A 17,525-nucleotide genomic window follows, 5' to 3' on the forward strand; every position below is an offset into this window, starting at 1 on the left:
AGTATAAGATTAAGTGCACAGCTCACCTTCATCGGGGAGCTCTACTTTGCGACCTGGGATTTTCCTGGCAATGACATTCATTAAATTTGGTTAATTTTCCCACTTTCCAGTGGTACATCAGTTAGCAAATTTGAAGAGCTTGTTACTGATCTTAGTATCTAAGCTATAGGTGACTATAGTAAATCACTTGCTCCAATATGGTCTTCTTTCTTCCTTTAAAGGCCCAACATGCAGCAGAAATAGGAGCTGATGGCATCGCTGTCATTGCACCGTTCTTCCTCAAGCCATGGACCAAAGGTAAGTAGATAGGTCTGAATGCATGGCATCTCACATGGTCCACTTCTTCTTGCCTCCATTCAAAATGGTTATATTTAATTTGTGAAAGTAAAGCACTATAGATTGGAGGCTTGAAGTCGCAATGGTACAGTGGTTCTCTGAAATATTTGCTCTCCCTGGATCCATAAAAGAGACTGCATTAAAGTACTTCAGTTCTTTTGCCCAGTAATTGATCTGATTGGGTCATCCACTGAGCCTGGTTGATCTGTAGATGCCTGTTTGGGTCAAGTGTCTGCTCCTAGACCAGTGAGTTGCATAGGGTGTCAGTCACATGGCAAAGCATGGGACCATTTTTCTTAGAAGAATATAAGTGATGGGCATTTTGAGACTACACATCCTATTCAAGGTTGAGTGAATGATGAATTTTAAGAGATTTCACAGAAATATTCATTGCCTTCTAGAATACCAAAGTATTGCTTTCTCTTTCTCTACTGTCTTCTCTGCAGAAACTATTTATGGTGTCTAAGTATACCAAGTCTTTTTAATCCTTTTTGATTAGCAAAAAAAGAAGTATAAATTTTAGAAGGATAAAAACAGACATTATTTGCCTACATGATTAAATAAATCCGTAATTAAATGCAGAATAGGTCTAAATCATCATGAAATATCAGCTATTATTGATACATAGAAAATAGTTCATTTAGGTAAGCAATTTAATATTTATAAATTGCGAGTTTAAAATGAACATTTTTAAAGTTTTAAAAATTTTTTAAATTATTTTTTAGAGATGAGGTCTTGCTCTGTTGCCCAGGCTGGAGTACAGTGGCATGATCATAGCTCACTGCAGCCTCAAACTCCTGGGCTCAAGCAACACTCCTCCATTGGCCTCCCAAGTAGCTGGGACTTACAGGCGCATGCCACCATGCCAAGCTAATTTTTAAAAAAATTTTATAGGGACAGGATGTTGGTATGTTGCCCAGGATGATCTTGAATTCTTGGCCTTGATCCTCCTGCCTCAGCCTCCCAAAGTACTGGGATTACAGGCATGAGCCACTGTGTCCAGCCCAACATTTAAAAATTTTTTCACATGGCTTTACAAATTTTTACGTGAATATGTTTCCTAAAAGGAAAAATAATGAATATATGCATAATAATTTGTCAGAAATATTATCATAGACTTGAATACACATCGTAACAGTATTAAGTACATAAAATTCTCCTATTACCCAGTGGCATCCAAAGCAGGAGGAGTGCTGCTGGACCTATCATCTGCAGTAGTGTTGCAGGCGAAGCTCACATGAGATGATGCAGGAAACCCCACTTACTCAGCAAACCAGAGTGTGCTCTCTTTTGATGTATCTGGATTTCTCCCCAAAGGGAAAAGTACCAAATTTTGCTGGAATTCTTGCAAAATGTGCCACTACTGCTATAATTTCCCTCTTGAAGCAGATATTGTTTATCTTTTTGTTACAGGATTTTCTCAATTAAAATCTTATTATTATCCTATAGTAGTCTCTGTTGTTTACTGTTCACACTTAGCCTTTTTGGGGTAAGACGACAAGAGTCTCACATGATGGACTTGTTTTTCATGATCATCTCTTAATATATGGGAAGGTTTTCATCAATTTTTTAATAGAGTTTAGTATGGTAGGAGAATAATCGTCTTACTTTGGGCTTTCTACAGAAAGGAAAATAAAACTTGAAGGAAGTGAGTTGCAAAAACATTGCAGTAGCAGTAGCAGGGATAGTAAAAGTGGTTGAGAATTTGAGGCTTCTGAGAAACATGGTTGTGTTTCATCAGATGATTCTCTTTTTTACCAGGAAAGCCACTGTTTTACACCTGTTCACACCATGACTGTTCCTACTGTTCTTTCAGATATCCTGATTAATTTCCTAAAGGAAGTGGCTGCTGCCGCCCCTGCCCTGCCATTTTATTACTATCACATTCCTGCCTTGACAGGGGTAAAGAGTAAGTACTGCTTCTGTTGATCTTTCTTTCCTTCCAACTCTCACATCTTACCCTATTATGCTAAGAAACTCCACTCCATCCCACCCTACCCCATGCCCCAAAAGCACACCACCACTGACTGGGCAGTTCCAGTTGTTTCTAAATGTCACTCTAAAGTCCCAGCCCTTATCAATCATTCACACTGCCGTATAATGGAAGTTGTTAGGTATGAAAGGAAATTTGATCTCTGGGCACTTGTAGCACATACCTTTCATCTCTATCACACACACACCCCTTCTTCTTATTGAGAAGACATGAGTCTGTAAGCCTCACTAGGACAGGAGTGTATCTACCTTGAACCTGTTGTATTCTTAGTGCCTGTAGCACATAGGAAAGTCCTCTGATCTCTTCTGACTTCTCTTCTAGCTTTTCTTTTATTATTACTGTATTTCTCCGAGAGAAGAGTTTTACAATTAGCTGAAATTTCTTAGATTATTTTTAAAATCCCACTCTTTTCTAAATTCCATAAGAGGAAAAATGGAGGCTGTACTTTATAAACATTCTGAGGAAAAAAACGAAACAAAACTGCTTTTCCTATTCTCTACTCTCATACTTAGCAAACTCAACGCAAAACATTTTACCTCTGGCCACCAAAATGTGTGTGGGCATTTCTCCCCACCAACAACCAATTCTTCATCAGAGACGAACTGGGTGTCCTCTAATTGGATTCAGTTCTGACACTGTCTACTGGAGTTAGCACTGGATCCCACAGGTTAAGGGCTTAGTCCCACAGGACTGCCCCCACTTCAGTGCCAGTCTCAAGTCCCAGGTTGTGGCCTGTACTTCCCACCAGCTGGCTATAAATCAGGGTTCCAATTACCTCCTCCTTGGGTTCAATTAATGTGCTACAGCAGTTTACAGAACTCAAACACTTTACTTACTATTGCCCATTTGTTACAAAGGAAACAGATAAACAACCAGAGAAGAAGAGATGCATAGGGTAAGATATGTGAGAAGGGGCATGGAGTTTCACGCCCTCTCTGAACAAGCCATCCTCCAGGCACCTTCACGTATTCAGCAACCCAGAAGCCCTGTCCTTTTAAGTTTCTATGGAGACTTCATTATATAGGCATGATTGAGTACCTCATTGGCCATGGGTGATCAGCTCAATCTTTAGCCCGGCTTTCCTCCCCAGAGGCCAAGGGTGTGACTGAAAGTTCCACCCCTCTAAGTACATGGTTGGTTCCCCTGGCAACCAGCCCTCATCCTGAGGCAATCTAGGTGATCTAGCCATCAGTGAACTTCATAGCATACAGAAATATACATATCACTTTGAAGATTCCAAGGGATTTAGGAGATTTGTGTCAGATGCTTCTATCTCTCAGGAAATTACAAAGGTCTTGGGAGCTCTGTGTCAGGAATCAGGGTCAAAGACCAAGTATTAGAATAAAATATTCTCCTAGCACCCCTGTCTACAAGGTTTTGGGTACTTTGTCTCAGGAACCAGGGACTGAGACCAAATATATATTTACACTTCACAAATATCCATCTACTGCCTTCAAGGAATGGGAAGTTTAGCATTATAATTGGACAAGCACATAGGAGCTGCTAGTCAGGGACCAGTGATTATGCCTAGTCTGCAGTCAGTTCTGGCTGACAGCAGCGTGTGGCAGCTCACTGCAGATGCATGACACTATATGAGATGTTATTTCCTAGAGATGTGCAGATTAATGAGGCACTTATTATTTTGAGCAGTTCGTGCTGAGGAGTTGTTGGATGGGATTCTGGATAAGATCCCCACCTTCCAAGGGCTGAAATTCAGTGATACAGATCTCTTAGACTTCGGGCAATGTGTTGATCAGAATCGCCAGCAACAGTTTGCTTTCCTTTTTGGGGTGGATGAGGTAAGTCACCCCCTAGCATGTTGCAGCAGGTCAGTTCCCTCCAAAACAATTTGTGTAGCTATATAGTAGCATCTCTTCTCTTTCTCTTTTTTATACAAGTGAATATTTTTTGTTTCTGATTAGCAACTGTTGAGTGCTCTGGTGATGGGAGCAACTGGAGCAGTGGGCAGGTAAGCATGACTCATTTTTCCCAGTGGTTATAAAGTCCCCCATAAAGGCATTCATCACCAAAGTAGCTGTATTTCTTGCATGTGTATCCTTTCTAATAGAAGTTTCCTTTCTTTTCCACATTCTTCCAGTGAAAGGGAATTAAATACTGCTTAGCTGTTTGTTAGAAATTCAGTCATTGGACTGGGCATGGTGGCTCAGCCTGTAATCCCAGCACTTTGGGAGGCCAAGGTGGGCAGATCACTTGAGGTCAGGAGTTCAAAACCAGCCTGGCCAACATGGTGAAACCCCATCTCTACTAAAAATGTAAAGAAATGGGCCGGGCACAGTGGCTCACGCCTGTAATCCCAACACTTTGGGAGGCCAAGGCGGGTGGATCACGAGATCAGCAGTTTGAGACCAGCTTGGTGAAACCCTGTCTCTACTAAAAATACAAAAATTAGCTGGGCATGGTGGCGGGCGCCTGTAATCCCAGCTACTTGGGAGGCTGAGGCAGGAGAATCGCTTGAAACCGGAAGGCGGAGGTTGCAGTGAGCTGAGATCGCACCACTGCACTCTAGCCCGGGCAACAAGAGTGAAACTCCATCTCAAAAAAAAAAAAAAATTAGCCAGGCGTGGTGGCAGGCACCTGTAATCCCAGCTACTCGGGAGGCTGAGGCATGAGAATCACCTGAACCCAGGAGACAGAGGTGGCAGTGAGCCAAGATCAAGCCACTGTACTCCAGCCTGGGTGACAGAGTGAGACTCCATCTCAAAAAAAAAAAGAAAAAGAAAAAGAAAAATTCAGTCATTGTTTAGAAGCATCTGTTGCAGTTACGGGTGAGACACATGACCACATGAATTGAGCACATGCACAGGGCCTACACCTTAGCAGGAGCTGACCCTTAGTGCTATAGACTCTGGTGACCAGTGTCTCAAGGATGGACTCACACTTTGTGAGTTCTATCTTTGTCAGAACTTATTTGGTTACAAGTAACAGAAACCCATTTGAACTAGCTTATGTACAAGAAGATATGTTATTATAAAATACTGGGAAATCACATAGAACCTAAGAGGAGGATGTACAACCAGGCCTCAGAGAAGATGAAAGCCAAGAACTGCAGAATCTCAATAGCCAAGGCAGATTATCTTCTATATGTGGTTTTTTGGAGAGACTCACCTCCACATCTTTCTGCACATCTCTTTATTTCTCTTCTCTCTCTCTGTATCCAGATGGGCTTTCTCTGCTTTAGCATGCACATGGCCAGTCATGGCTGCCCAAGCGTGGCATCTCGGGACATCATTAGATAGCACTACCTAGGCAAGTGTCCATGTCAGGTCCAACCAGAAGCATGTGGCCCAATGCCTACTTAGCAAAAGACAGGCAATTCAATTAGCATGTCCACTGCACATGTTAACCTGATTCATAAGAATATGCTTCCAAGCAGATTGAATGAAATTTTTGCATTAACTGAAAGGTACCAGGGGAGCAAAATAACATTTATAACATGTCTTGGTGAGCCTGGCTGTGAGGAAGAGTGACTGAGTTGAATAATATAAATGGCTTGTTCACCAAGCCAAGATGGCCTATGACAGCCATTGTAACTTCAGGGGTATTTCTACTGAGGAAATTTGAATGTGTATTTGTTGACCATATGTATTAATTCATTCTCACATCGCTATAAAGAAATATCTGAGAAATTTATAAGAAAAGAAGTTTAATTGGCTCACAGTTCTGCAGGCTGTACAGGAAGCATGGCAGCGTGTGCTTGGCTTCTGAAGGAAACTTTCAATCATGGCGGAAGGCTAAGCAGGCACATCTTACATGGCCAGAGCAGGAGGGAGAGGAAGTGAGGTGCCACACGCTTTTAAATAACTGGATCTCACGAGAACTCACTATCGCGACAACAGCACAAAGGAGGATGTGTTAAACCATGAGAAACTGCCCCTGTAATCCAATCACCTCCCACCAGCCCCACCTCCAGCACTGGGGATTACATTTCAACCTGAGATTTAGGCAGGGACATAGATCCAAACCATATCACCATTAAACCTTTTTCCGCCTGGAAATTCTTTCTTTTTTGGCTCCTGCTTTTTGTCCTCCATACTAGGCATTTTAATTCTGTCAACATAATCTATAAGCAAAGTACATTTGGTTAGACTTCGTTTCTCCCTAGTTATAATCACCTTTCTGTCTAACCAGGGATACACCTAAGACCATTGGGATTCAAATGTTAGTATTCTGAAACTCCTCAGACATTGTTCTTCCTTGCTCTATTGCCACAAGATAACATGAGCTTCACATTCCTGGAATCCCTTGCTGTTGACCCCAGTTCTATATATACAAGTCCAACAACATTTCTGTTAGTGGTACATCAAGATAAATACTTTTTCTGATACCGACTTACTATGAGAGAAGCCATTTGAATTTAAAGAACTTGGGGAAATATCCTTATTATGAGTTTCTATAACCTTCTACCTTGCTGGTTTCTCTAAGAATTCAGTGACTTATTTAAGATATTTATCTTTATAGGTAGAGTTGGAGAGTTTTTTAAGTCCACAAAAATATTTTGTCAGATCAAATTCTCACCTTCATTTTTGTTGAATTGTTATAGAAGACAACATGAAGCAATGGAAAGCTTTCATGGAAACCCTGAAGCCCTTCTTTAATCAAAATAAAAACCAGGCCTACCTTGCAGGGTTTTACAAGGATTAGACATGATTTATGTCAAGCACCTATAATATAATAGGCACTTAGTAAATGATCCCTCATTTTATTATCATCATTATTAATATTACTATCTAGAAACTAGTCTTTAAGTAATATACACATTAGCAAGGAATATAGGTAATTTATTGGGATTTGCCCCTATTTTCATGGTGCTCCATCCACCCAGTTTTTCAGCATAAGGCTTTTAGGACTCACCTCAGATGCTACCTTTTATCCACAGTTCTTGTCTAGCATTGCACCTGTGTGTACCCTAGGGCAAGAGCTGGCCTCAGTCGCTTCCTAACAAATACACCTCCATCTTTTTTATCTTTTTTCTGATTTTCTTCCTTTATCCCCTTTTGCCTGTCTTCCTTCTCTGCAGTACTGCTCAGTATTGCTGGAAAACTCAGAACTGAAGACAGTCTTGTCCCCTAATAGATTAGGATTCAAAAACAGACTTTAGGAGGACTAGGTGTATTTTTTCCCTTTTAAACAGCAGAGGGATTTGAAGATCTGGACCTTTCCTGTTGAGTTATTGAACCTGCAGTATTTGTTATTGTCTTGCCAGTACCTATAACTACCTGGGAAAAAAGACAAACCAGATGTTGGAGGCTTTTGAACAAAAGGACTTCTCTTTAGCCCTGAACTATCAGGTAAACGTTTTCTTCTCTTCCCATAAATCACAGCCTTTTTTCTTCCCCACTTGAGGATTCTTTTTCTTCTCTCTACCATGCCTGCCCTCATTAAAATTGCCCAGCCACTTCTTTCTTTACCTTTCTTCTGTTTTGTACTTTTTCTTGTTTAAAACCAAAGCTGTCCCCATTGTCTGTGTTCCCGACATGTCTAATCAGGACAGGACCCATACAGGGATGGCTCCTCTCTTCCTCCTAGAAAGGATCTTATTTTTACTCTATCTTCAAAGTACTTTTGTGACTATAATAAAATGGTCATAGATTTCTGGGAAAATGACCACAGGCTGTCCCCTTGAGGACATCACATCAGAGTTATCACAGAATATGAGGAAGCTATGAAGATGGTAACCTAAAATGGGGAAGGCTTCATTCAAAGTCAGGGCAGGTCAGTCTTGTCCACCCTGGAAATGTGCTGAGAACTAGGAACATCCACCAGGAAGGAAATAAGAGCCTAGTGGGTGATCCAAAGTAGATACAGGATTTGAGACAGGAAGGAAAAACCAGCAGAAGCTGATATGTTGCACGGAAGACCCCAGAGGACATAGTGGCTGCTGTGAATGTTCCATGGAGGACAGCCTAGCCATCAGGGAAAGAAGAGCCTCAGTGAAGGGTGGAACAGTCTCAACAACTGGTTGTCTTTTATTTAGAGATAGGGTCTTGCTCTGTTGCCCAGGCTGGAGTGCAGCGATGTGATCATAGCTCACTGCAGCCTTGAATCCTCCTGGGCTCAAGCAGTCCTCCCGCCTCAGCCTCCTGAGTAGCTGGGACTACAGGCATGCGCCACCATGCCCAGCTAACATCTGGTTCTAACCCATGGTTCTAAAGTGTAAATGGAATGAATTGGAAGAAAGTAGGGTGGATATGAGAGCAAGACTTTTGGGGTCTGAGAGGCGTGAGGATTTTCAGGATAGTATAAGTGGTTGAGAGGAGTATCCCAAGAAAATAAGTGGGAATGGAAAGACAGAAGCAAGATTGGAGCAAATGGTTGGTCCTAATAAAGCTTGGCTGTGGGATCTTTCTGAACAGGACAGGCTGCCATCAGGGTAATCAGAGATTACAGATCAGAAGTACAAAGTATCCTGGGGGTTAAAGGAAGTGACCTGCAGCCCCAACCCAAAGACAACATGAAGAAGCAGAATCCAGAGTGGTTTATTCCCTACCCGTAGGCCTCAAAGTTGAGCCATCATAAATCTACTTCCTCCTTAAAGTTTAAATACCATATGTAATATTCGCCTTTGTCCTCAGACCAAGTGAAGCTAAGAACAGGAACAGGGTAGGGATCTAGGAAGCTGTGCCAAATAAACTAAACATCGACAAGACTTTGGTTTAGATAAGGGTGAGAAGAATGAATTGTGCAGACTCTGCCATCTCCTTGCATTGATGGTTCTCTCCACCCTGCCCAGTTTCCTAGAAAAGGTTATTTCTGAAAATTCTAACCTGTTCTGAGCAGAACATGGAAATCATAGATGGAGTAGACTGAAGCAGCTATAATGCTGACCCTTCCATTCAGTGACTTCTCTTATTGGTTAATCTAGTCTCCATCTTTTTTCCCCTCTTAGTCCCACTCTAAATAAATCATCCCATTGAAAACAATGTTGGTAAGGAACTTAGTTTACCACTCTCTGTTTCAAATAAATCATCCCATTGAAAACAATGTTGGTAAGGAACTTATTTTACCACATTCTCTGTTTCTTCTTAAGAAAGCACGTGTGAGTGAGTCTTATTTACTCAGTACATAATTTCAGTAAAGGTGGTTTCTGCTCTTAAAGAGCTTGTAGTCAAGTGAAGAAGCAGACAAAAAGTTAGGGCTAAATTTATCTCATTCACTTTAATGTACTTAAGTGCCATCTGTTATATTTACATGAGTGAAATTACACATGTACAAAGATATTCCTTGCAGCTTTGTTTGTAACAGCAAAAGATAAAAACAGCCCAAATATTCATCCATAAGGCAATGGTTAAATACATTTTATTATGCAATTGAATTATATATAGCTCTTAAAATGAGATAGCTTTATGTATTCTGACCTGGAAAGATCTACATGCTATGTTAAATGGAAAAAAGCAGCAAAATATAAGATAGTAAATGTAATGTGCTATATTGTTCATGGGGTAGAACATATATGTTTGTAAGTCTCTGGGTATTAAAATTTTATTCTACATTTTATTTCTAGTATACAGTCAGTTAAAACAAATATGTTAAGCATTTTGAAAAATACTTTTAAATATAAAATGTTATTGAAAATGCATCTCTTAATAAGATGCATGAGGTTCTAAGGCCGGGCACGGTGGCTCACGCCTGTAATCCCAGCACTTTGGGAGGCTGAGGTGGGCGGATCATGAGGTCAGGAGATTGAGACCATCATGGCTAACGTGGCAAAACCCCGTCTCTACTAAAAATACAAAAAATTAGCCGGGCGTGGTGGCGGGCGCCTGTAGTCCCAGCTACTTGGGAGGGTGAGGCAGGAGAATGGCATGAACCTGGGAGGCAGAGCTTGCAGTGAGGCGAGATCATGCCACCGCACTCCAGCCTGGGTGACAGAGCGAGACTCTGTCTCAAAAACATAATAATAAAATAAAAATTAAAAGATGCATGAGGCTCTTTTTTAAAAAATCAGTTTGTCTGGAATCCGTGGATGAATATTACTTAATGCTAGGATAAGTTGAGGTTCAGCATCAATACTATTTTTGTTTTTAGAGAAGTAAGTGCTACAAAACTGTGTTCATGTAAGTTAGATAATAATGGAAGGAATTTTGTTATAGCAGTGTCACCCAGTTCTTTGAACATTTTTTGAGTCATATGCCAAAATCACAGAATGCTTTAATGATTTTCAGCTGAAACCTGAGTAGCAGTGTAGAAAGGAAATCATTGAAAAACCTCTGATTTTTGAGAGGACTTATTACCTATTAATTAGAAGAATCACTGTCCCTCTCTTTATCAATACCAATACTGATATTTTGATTTGTATCCCAAGGCAGTGATATAGAAGGCTGTCTTTATTTTTTTTCAAAAGTAGAAAAGACTGTGCAAGGGGAAACAGAAAAGAACAACCTGCACCTCCATTTCATGCAGATTCTTATGCTGATCAATTTTAGAAAACAGCACTTATGGAAGTTGAGGATCTAGAAATTGATTCCCATAAATCTTAGCCTTAGCCATGTGCTCCTTAGGCATCCTGGAAGGTGCCCCAGAGCTTATATGCACCTGAGTTTGAAAACCACTGCACTAGCTGATAAGTTTACCTATGTAAGCCAGATGGATAAGGGGTGTGATTCCCATCTTTACTCTCTTGTAGAATTCCATCATTGAAGCTTCTTTTCTGCACGGGCCCATTTTGTAAAGCCTACATGTATGAAAAGATCTTACCTTAGCCTGGATGGATCCCAGCCATCTTCACTTGGCTATTTTTCTCCACTCTGACAGACCTTCAGTAAATGAAGGTGTGCAGACTTTTTAGGGTTTCTGTAATTTGACTTCTACATTATTTACATTGTTTACACAGTTCAATAATACTAACTATAGATATGTTGTTCTTTTCTAGTTTTGTATCCAGAGATTTATCAACTTTGTTGTCAAACTAGGTAAGTGCCACCCATCTTCTGCTTTGTCTGCTGCTGGAGACTGTAAAGAAAATGGAATACCATCACTTTCTCTGAGGGTTCAACAAGAACACTTTTTAATGGTCTGTTGCAAGCAGAGTTCTGTTTCCCTTATTAACCCTCGGGGCCAACCATATAAAACTGTGAAGTAAACCTAGTTGGAAAATCTTTGGCAACCTTCTCCATTTTAGCACATGCCTACCCCATTTTCCATTCTTTCTCTCCTAAACCATCAGCACTCCCTCCCTTTACTTGCTTCAGCTCATTAAAATTCTACTACTGCATTGAGGTTGATTTCAGCCTAAGTGCTTGGAGGAAGGCAGTCTAAATACAGATTTTACTAAATTGTGAATGACTGACAGCTCTCCCAAGAGTATTTACAATTTAAACAGAGTTTATTAACACAAGTAAGCCTAAATGGATGGAGGTTTGGATAATATGACAAAGTAAAATTGGGGAGCAGTCGTGGGGAGAAATACAGTGAATTTGAGTAGAGAAACCGCTCCAGAGTCTCTTAAATCTTCTATAACAAATGACAAATGCCACTATCCACTCTTCTGCAAGAGATTGGCCCTTGGGCCAATTGAATCTGCGTTAATGCAGGAAAATTTTTAAGTTTATTTTTGGTAGACCTCCCTGCTCCCTGTCAGAGTCCTGCATAATTCTGACAACTCCTCCCTCTCCCCCAAGCACCTCTTCTGTGTTATGCCCCTCATTCTTGCAGGGTTCTCAACCCACTCTCTTACTCCTTCAAGGACGTTTCTGTTTGTTTTTCCACTTTCGTGATTTTTGCACATTTGTGTGCTGCCAGTGCTATGAACTACCTATTATTGTTCCATTTTTCTAAGCAATGGTTTCACAAAATTGTGGGTTTGGTGTGATAATTATTATGTTCCTAAAATACATTAAAATAGGTATTGAACTGTTAAAATTTTAGACAAACTAAAAGCTTGATGTGTGTAGTAGTCCCCCCTTATCTCAGGGGGATATGTTCCAAGATGACCAGTGGATGCCTGAAATTGCAGATAATACGAAACCCTATATATACTATGTTTTTTCCTGTACATGCATACCTATGGTAAAGTTTAATTTATAAATTAGGCATAGTAAGAGATAAACAGTAACTAATAATAAAATAGAACAATTATAACAATATACTGCAATAAAAGTTATATAACTATGGTCAGTCTCTCTGTCTGTCTCTCAAAATACCTTATTATTTTTGGACTGCAGTTGACCACAGGTAACTGAAACCATGGAAAGTGAAACTGCAGACAAGGGAGACCTACTGTATATTCGATCATGCTAATATTTTCCCTCCCAATGCTCAGTTTTTACTGCAACTAAGTTAACTTAGCAAAAGAAAGTTAGTTCTTCTATCTTGAATCTGAACGCAATAGCCAGCTAAGAAAACAAATTACAGACATTTTAGAAGATGGGGATTGGGGATTATGATGGATAATTATTAGTTATGCTTTTTACATATTAACAGTGTACCTGATCTTCCATTTGCCTCTCCAATCTGAAGGCTTTGTCTTTCTTTAGTTCTGAAAAAATTCTCTGTTATCTGTAAAGAATGTTTTGACTACATTTACTCAAATCTCTCATTCTGAAAGTCTATTAGTTGTATTTTGGATTTTCTCAATCTGTATCTCAATTTTAAAAAACATTTAACATATCTTTCTATGCTGTATTCTGGATTATTTCCTTAGATCTACCTTGAAAATCACTAATTCTTTCTTTAGCTATGTTTTTACTGTTTGATTTCCCTAAATATATATATTTTTTTCAGTATTTCTTGTTGTTTTATACTCTACTGTTCTTTACTTCTCTTAGCCTATGGCTTCTATTCCTTCTTTTATCTCTGAGAAGTCTCTTTCAGAATTTTCTGTCATCTACTCTCAGGATGTAAGTTTTGTCATTTTTGAATGTGCTGGTTCTCCTGCTGCTGCTTTTCCTCATGGGTTTTGTAATTTTTAGCTTTGAGCTCATGTTCAGAGACTGTTGTTTTCTGGGTAACCCATTGAACATTAGGTTGTAAGGTGCCCTATCAAGTGAGTTTACATTTGCCTCTGCTAGGACACTGTAGTTCCACCAGTTCTAACCAGTCTTTCGGTTAATTTTTTAGTATAGTACCTATACTAAGTGTGTGACATACATTGAGATCCACCATTCACCTTTGGCTCAGGCTTGAGATTTCTTTCATGAGATCTGTTTCCATCCACAAGCCTAGTAGAAGTCAAGCTTTCTTCTTTATCCCCAGACCAGTGGGCTGGGTTTTTTTCTATTGCTTTTTACAGAAGGCTGACTACCAGTTTTACATAGGTAGTTTAATTCCAGCTTCTCACCATGCATAGATCTAAGGCTTCATTTTCCATTCCCATCCCAGCCGTATAACACCAGCATGAAAACAGCAGCGTTGAGTCATAAGCCACCTTAAGTACTGCATTTCTTAGGGACTTCCTAAATAAGCTTAAACTAAATTTCATGCTGGCAATAAAGTCCTACCTCCTTTGATCAACAATAGTATATTCCTAAATCAGATTATCCTCAAGGGCTGTTTGGCATCAGCTTCTCCTCACCCTTCTGACCTCTTTATTCCTGACACCTTTGGCTTCTCCTTCTTGGGTTTAAGATTAACCTTGAGTCTTTGTTTTCTTTTACTGTGATCAACTTTTAAAATTTTCCAGCGTTCTGTGTTTGAAGCAGGAAGAGGGATTTCGAATGATTGCTCATCTGTCATATTGACTAGAAATGTTCCCATCTTTTGTTTTAATCTTACCCTGTTGTAGTAGTTGCTGTTAGCATATGATCTCCTTCTTTGGGATTTTTGTGGAGAGATAGACGGTACCAGTCATGTTTCCTCATTTGTTTTTCCCGTCTAGGTTTTGGAGTGTCACAGACCAAAGCCATCATGACTCTGGTCTCTGGGATTCCAATGGGCCCACCCCGGCTTCCACTGCAGAAAGCCTCCAGGGAGTTTACTGATAGTGCTGAAGCTAAACTGAAGAGCCTGGATTTCCTTTCTTTCACTGATTTAAAGGATGGAAACTTGGAAGCTGGTAGCTAGTGCCTCTCTATCAAATCAGGGTTTGCACCTTGAGACATAATCTACCTTAAATAGTGCATTTTTTTCTCAGGGAATTTTAGATGAACTTGAATAAACTCTCCTAGCAAATGAAATCTCACAATAAGCATTGAGGTACCTTTTGTGAGCCTTAAAAAGTCTTATTTTGTGAAGGGGCAAAAACTCTAGGAGTCACAACTCTCAGTCATTCATTTCACAGATTTTTTTGTGGAGAAATTTCTGTTTATATGGATGAAATGGAATCAAGAGGAAAATTGTAATTGATTAATTCCATCTGTCTTTAGGAGCTCTCATTATCTCGGTCTCTGGTTCCTAATCCTATTTTAAAGTTGTCTAATTTTAAACCACTATAATATGTCTTCATTTTAATAAATATTCATTTGGAATCTAGGAAAACTCTGAGCTACTGCATTTAGGCAGGCACTTTAATACCAAACTGTAACATGTCTCAACTGTATACAACTCAAAATACACCAGCTCATTTGGCTGCTCAGTCTAACTCTAGAATGGATGCTTTTGAATTCATTTCGATGTCACCACTTTTCGCTCTTTAAAAACACTGGGTCAGGTGAGGACTTGTTTCAGTTCCTATAACTAAGTAAAGGGCGGCTTTCTCATAACAAAGGAAAAAGTCTTCCCCAAAGATGAATTTAAGTCTCCACTTTTTTCTATACAGAAAACTCAAAACTCAAAGTTTCAAAGAACCAAAGGACTCTTCCTCTGGGCACCACAAACTTCCCCTTCCTCCACTGAGAAGACTGTCTCTCCCGCAGGACCCTGAATTATTGAAATCGAAGGCTGACTTCCTTTCTGCAGTGAGCCCAGGGGCTAATGTTATTATCCTGTCACACTTGCAACTAGTGACTTTTGTTTAGTGATAGAAGATTTGGGGAGGACCCAAAGGACTCAGAACTTTCTCTCCATACCTCCTTTTACTCTTTTCTTTCTGTGTAATGTATCAACAACTGTTTAATCTCCCTTCTAACAAACCTTGATATAAGCTTTCTGATATCAAAGTATATTGACAGTTAACCCTTACTGATTTTAAACTTGACTATCCAGTCTGTTAATTACCTAAGATTTTGTTTTCATTTCATCTCTAATTGTTTTGATCATTGGCAGAGAAAGAGTATTTGAAATTCATATCAGTTTTGCTCCTTATTTTAATCTCTTTGAATTAAAAATAAAACTTTTTCAAAATGGAAATTTGAAATTATAAGTAGACTTCAATTATCTTTGCTAATCCTCTCTTTAATTAGTCAGCTAGTTAAAAGTTGTTATATTCATATATCCTCAACCCTCTTTTTGCCTTTGTAGCTTTTAATTTCCTGAAAGAAGAAAATGAGTTGTTCGTTTTTGGTTCTGAGGATGTGATATCCGTACTTACTGATACTAAAGCCAAATTTAAATTCTAAAATTAATTCTTGGGTATCCAATAAACAAAGAACTATTTTTCTATTTTTGCTTTTGTGAAGTCAATGCTTAGAGGATTTTTAAGATGGTGAGTGAGCTTTTGTGAACATAAAGAGAAATATGATTTTAAAATGACCAGGTCTGAGTTTAGCTCTGTTAACATCCAGTAGCTTAGAAATGAATATCATGGCCGGGTGCCGTGGCTCATGCCTGTAATACCAGCACTTTGGGAGGCCGAGGCAGGCAGATCACGAGGTCACGAGATCGAGACCAGCCTGACCAACATGGTGAAACCCATCTCTACTAAAAATACAAAAATTAGCTGGGTGTAGTGGCGCACGCCTGTAGTCCCAGCTACTCAGGAGGCTGAGGCAGGAGAATCGCTTGAGCCCGGGAAGCGGAGGTTGCAGTGAGCCAAGATCGCACCACTGCACTCTAGCCTGGTGACGGAGCGAGACTCTGTCTCAAAAAAAAAAAAAAAAAAAAAAAAAAGAAGAGAAAAGAAATGAATATCATATAGCAGTAGGCTATTAATAGTGCACTTAAGTAAAATTTTGGAATACTATGAACTTACCGTTTTGTTTATAATCTATTCCTAAATTGTTTTTAACATTAAAACTACAGTAATGGCATGTGAAATATTTCATTCAACACAGTAGTAAAAGCTGATTTCCAACCTCTTTGTTTCAAGATAGAAATCTGAGATCAGTCCACTGGGGATGGTTGGAGGGACAGGAGTGATTTTAGGAATTGGTTTTACTTAAGATCTCTCTTGCCAGGTGCGGTGGCTCACGCCTGTAATCCCAGCACTTTGGGAGGCCTAGGCGGGTGGATCATGAGGTCAGGAGATCAAGACCATCCTGGCTAACACAGTGAAACCCCGACTCTACTAAAAATACAAAAAATTAACCGGGCATGGTGGCGGGCGCCTGTAGTCCGGGAGGCTGAGGCAGGAGAATGGCGTGAACCCGGGAAGTGGAGCTTGCAGTGAGCCGAGATCGCACCACTGCACTCCAGCCTGGGCAACAGAGCAAGACTCCGTCTCAAAAAAAAATAGAACATCTCTCTTGGGTTTATTGAAAGATGTAGGAAAATGCCATGGGGGTGAGGTGCAAGTAGGGTTGGGGGGCAGTGGGAGTAATGTATATTCTTTCCTAGAAAGGGTATTTGCCACAACTTGAGAGAAATTTCTTCTTTCTGATCACCTGAAGGGCACGGAAAATCCAAACTCTTAGGAGGCTGATGTCTAAGGCTGGGTTGAGGGGCTTTGCAGAGTGACTGCAACCCAAGTTTAGGTACCCACCTGGGCTCACCAAGGCTTTTTCATACAGAGGAAATGGAGTGGGATCTACAAACCCATCAAATCAAGTAGAGGAAACAACACATCCAAGCCATTTAACCATTTCCTTATCACATGCTGACTCAACCCTCAGTTTCCTCCAGTGGAAGTAAGAGGGAAACTTGGAACCAAAATTATGCAAATAGCAGAGCTAAGCCCCAGGTAGAGGCAGAGCACTACCTCACACTTTGTTTCTGGGGCTGAGAAATGGCTATCTGGGTGGACAAAAAAACCCAAATCGTAGTTTCTCCTAAGAGTCTCCCCTTGGTGACTCTTAGGAAATTGTTTGATACATAATACATTTTAGCATGTTAAGTTACACAACTAGAAGGAAAACCCTAAAGCATTTTCTTAAGTCTTAATCACACAATTAATAAATATAATGGAATGGATTCAACAAAATACATA

At 40.0% G+C, this 17,525-nt stretch overlaps 1 protein-coding gene across 5 annotated transcripts in view, besides 1 other annotated feature; it reads left to right on the plus strand.

Annotated features, from left to right (window-relative positions):
- The window catches only part of NPL (N-acetylneuraminate pyruvate lyase), a 40,612-nt gene extending 24,789 nt beyond the window's left edge, over positions 1-15,823 (plus strand). For 2 of the 5 annotated variants that reach the window (NM_030769.3, NM_001200050.2), the window contains 7 exons: positions 222-297; positions 2,153-2,245; positions 3,980-4,128; positions 4,252-4,298; positions 7,554-7,638; positions 11,220-11,259; positions 14,163-15,823. In NM_030769.3, the coding sequence (NP_110396.1) occupies positions 222-297; positions 2,153-2,245; positions 3,980-4,128; positions 4,252-4,298; positions 7,554-7,638; positions 11,220-11,259; positions 14,163-14,347 (675 nt within the window). In that variant the 3' untranslated portion in view covers positions 14,348-15,823. The remainder of the gene's footprint in view (positions 1-221; positions 298-2,152; positions 2,246-3,979; positions 4,129-4,251; positions 4,299-7,553; positions 7,639-11,219; positions 11,260-14,162) is intronic. The other 3 variants (NM_001200056.2, NM_001200052.2, NM_001200051.2) reach the window with 3 other exon arrangements.
- Positions 15,012-15,161: an enhancer, noted in NCBI's record as "active region_2208". NCBI's record gives its function as "activates an Ori minimal core promoter by ATAC-STARR-seq in GM12878 lymphoblastoid cells {active_cell/tissue: GM12878}" and the evidence as "EXISTENCE:reporter gene assay evidence [ECO:0000049][PMID:35858748]".

This window comes from Homo sapiens, chromosome 1 (genome assembly GCF_000001405.40).
Source record: "Homo sapiens chromosome 1, GRCh38.p14 Primary Assembly".
NCBI classification, from domain to species: Eukaryota; Metazoa; Chordata; class Mammalia; order Primates; family Hominidae; genus Homo; species Homo sapiens.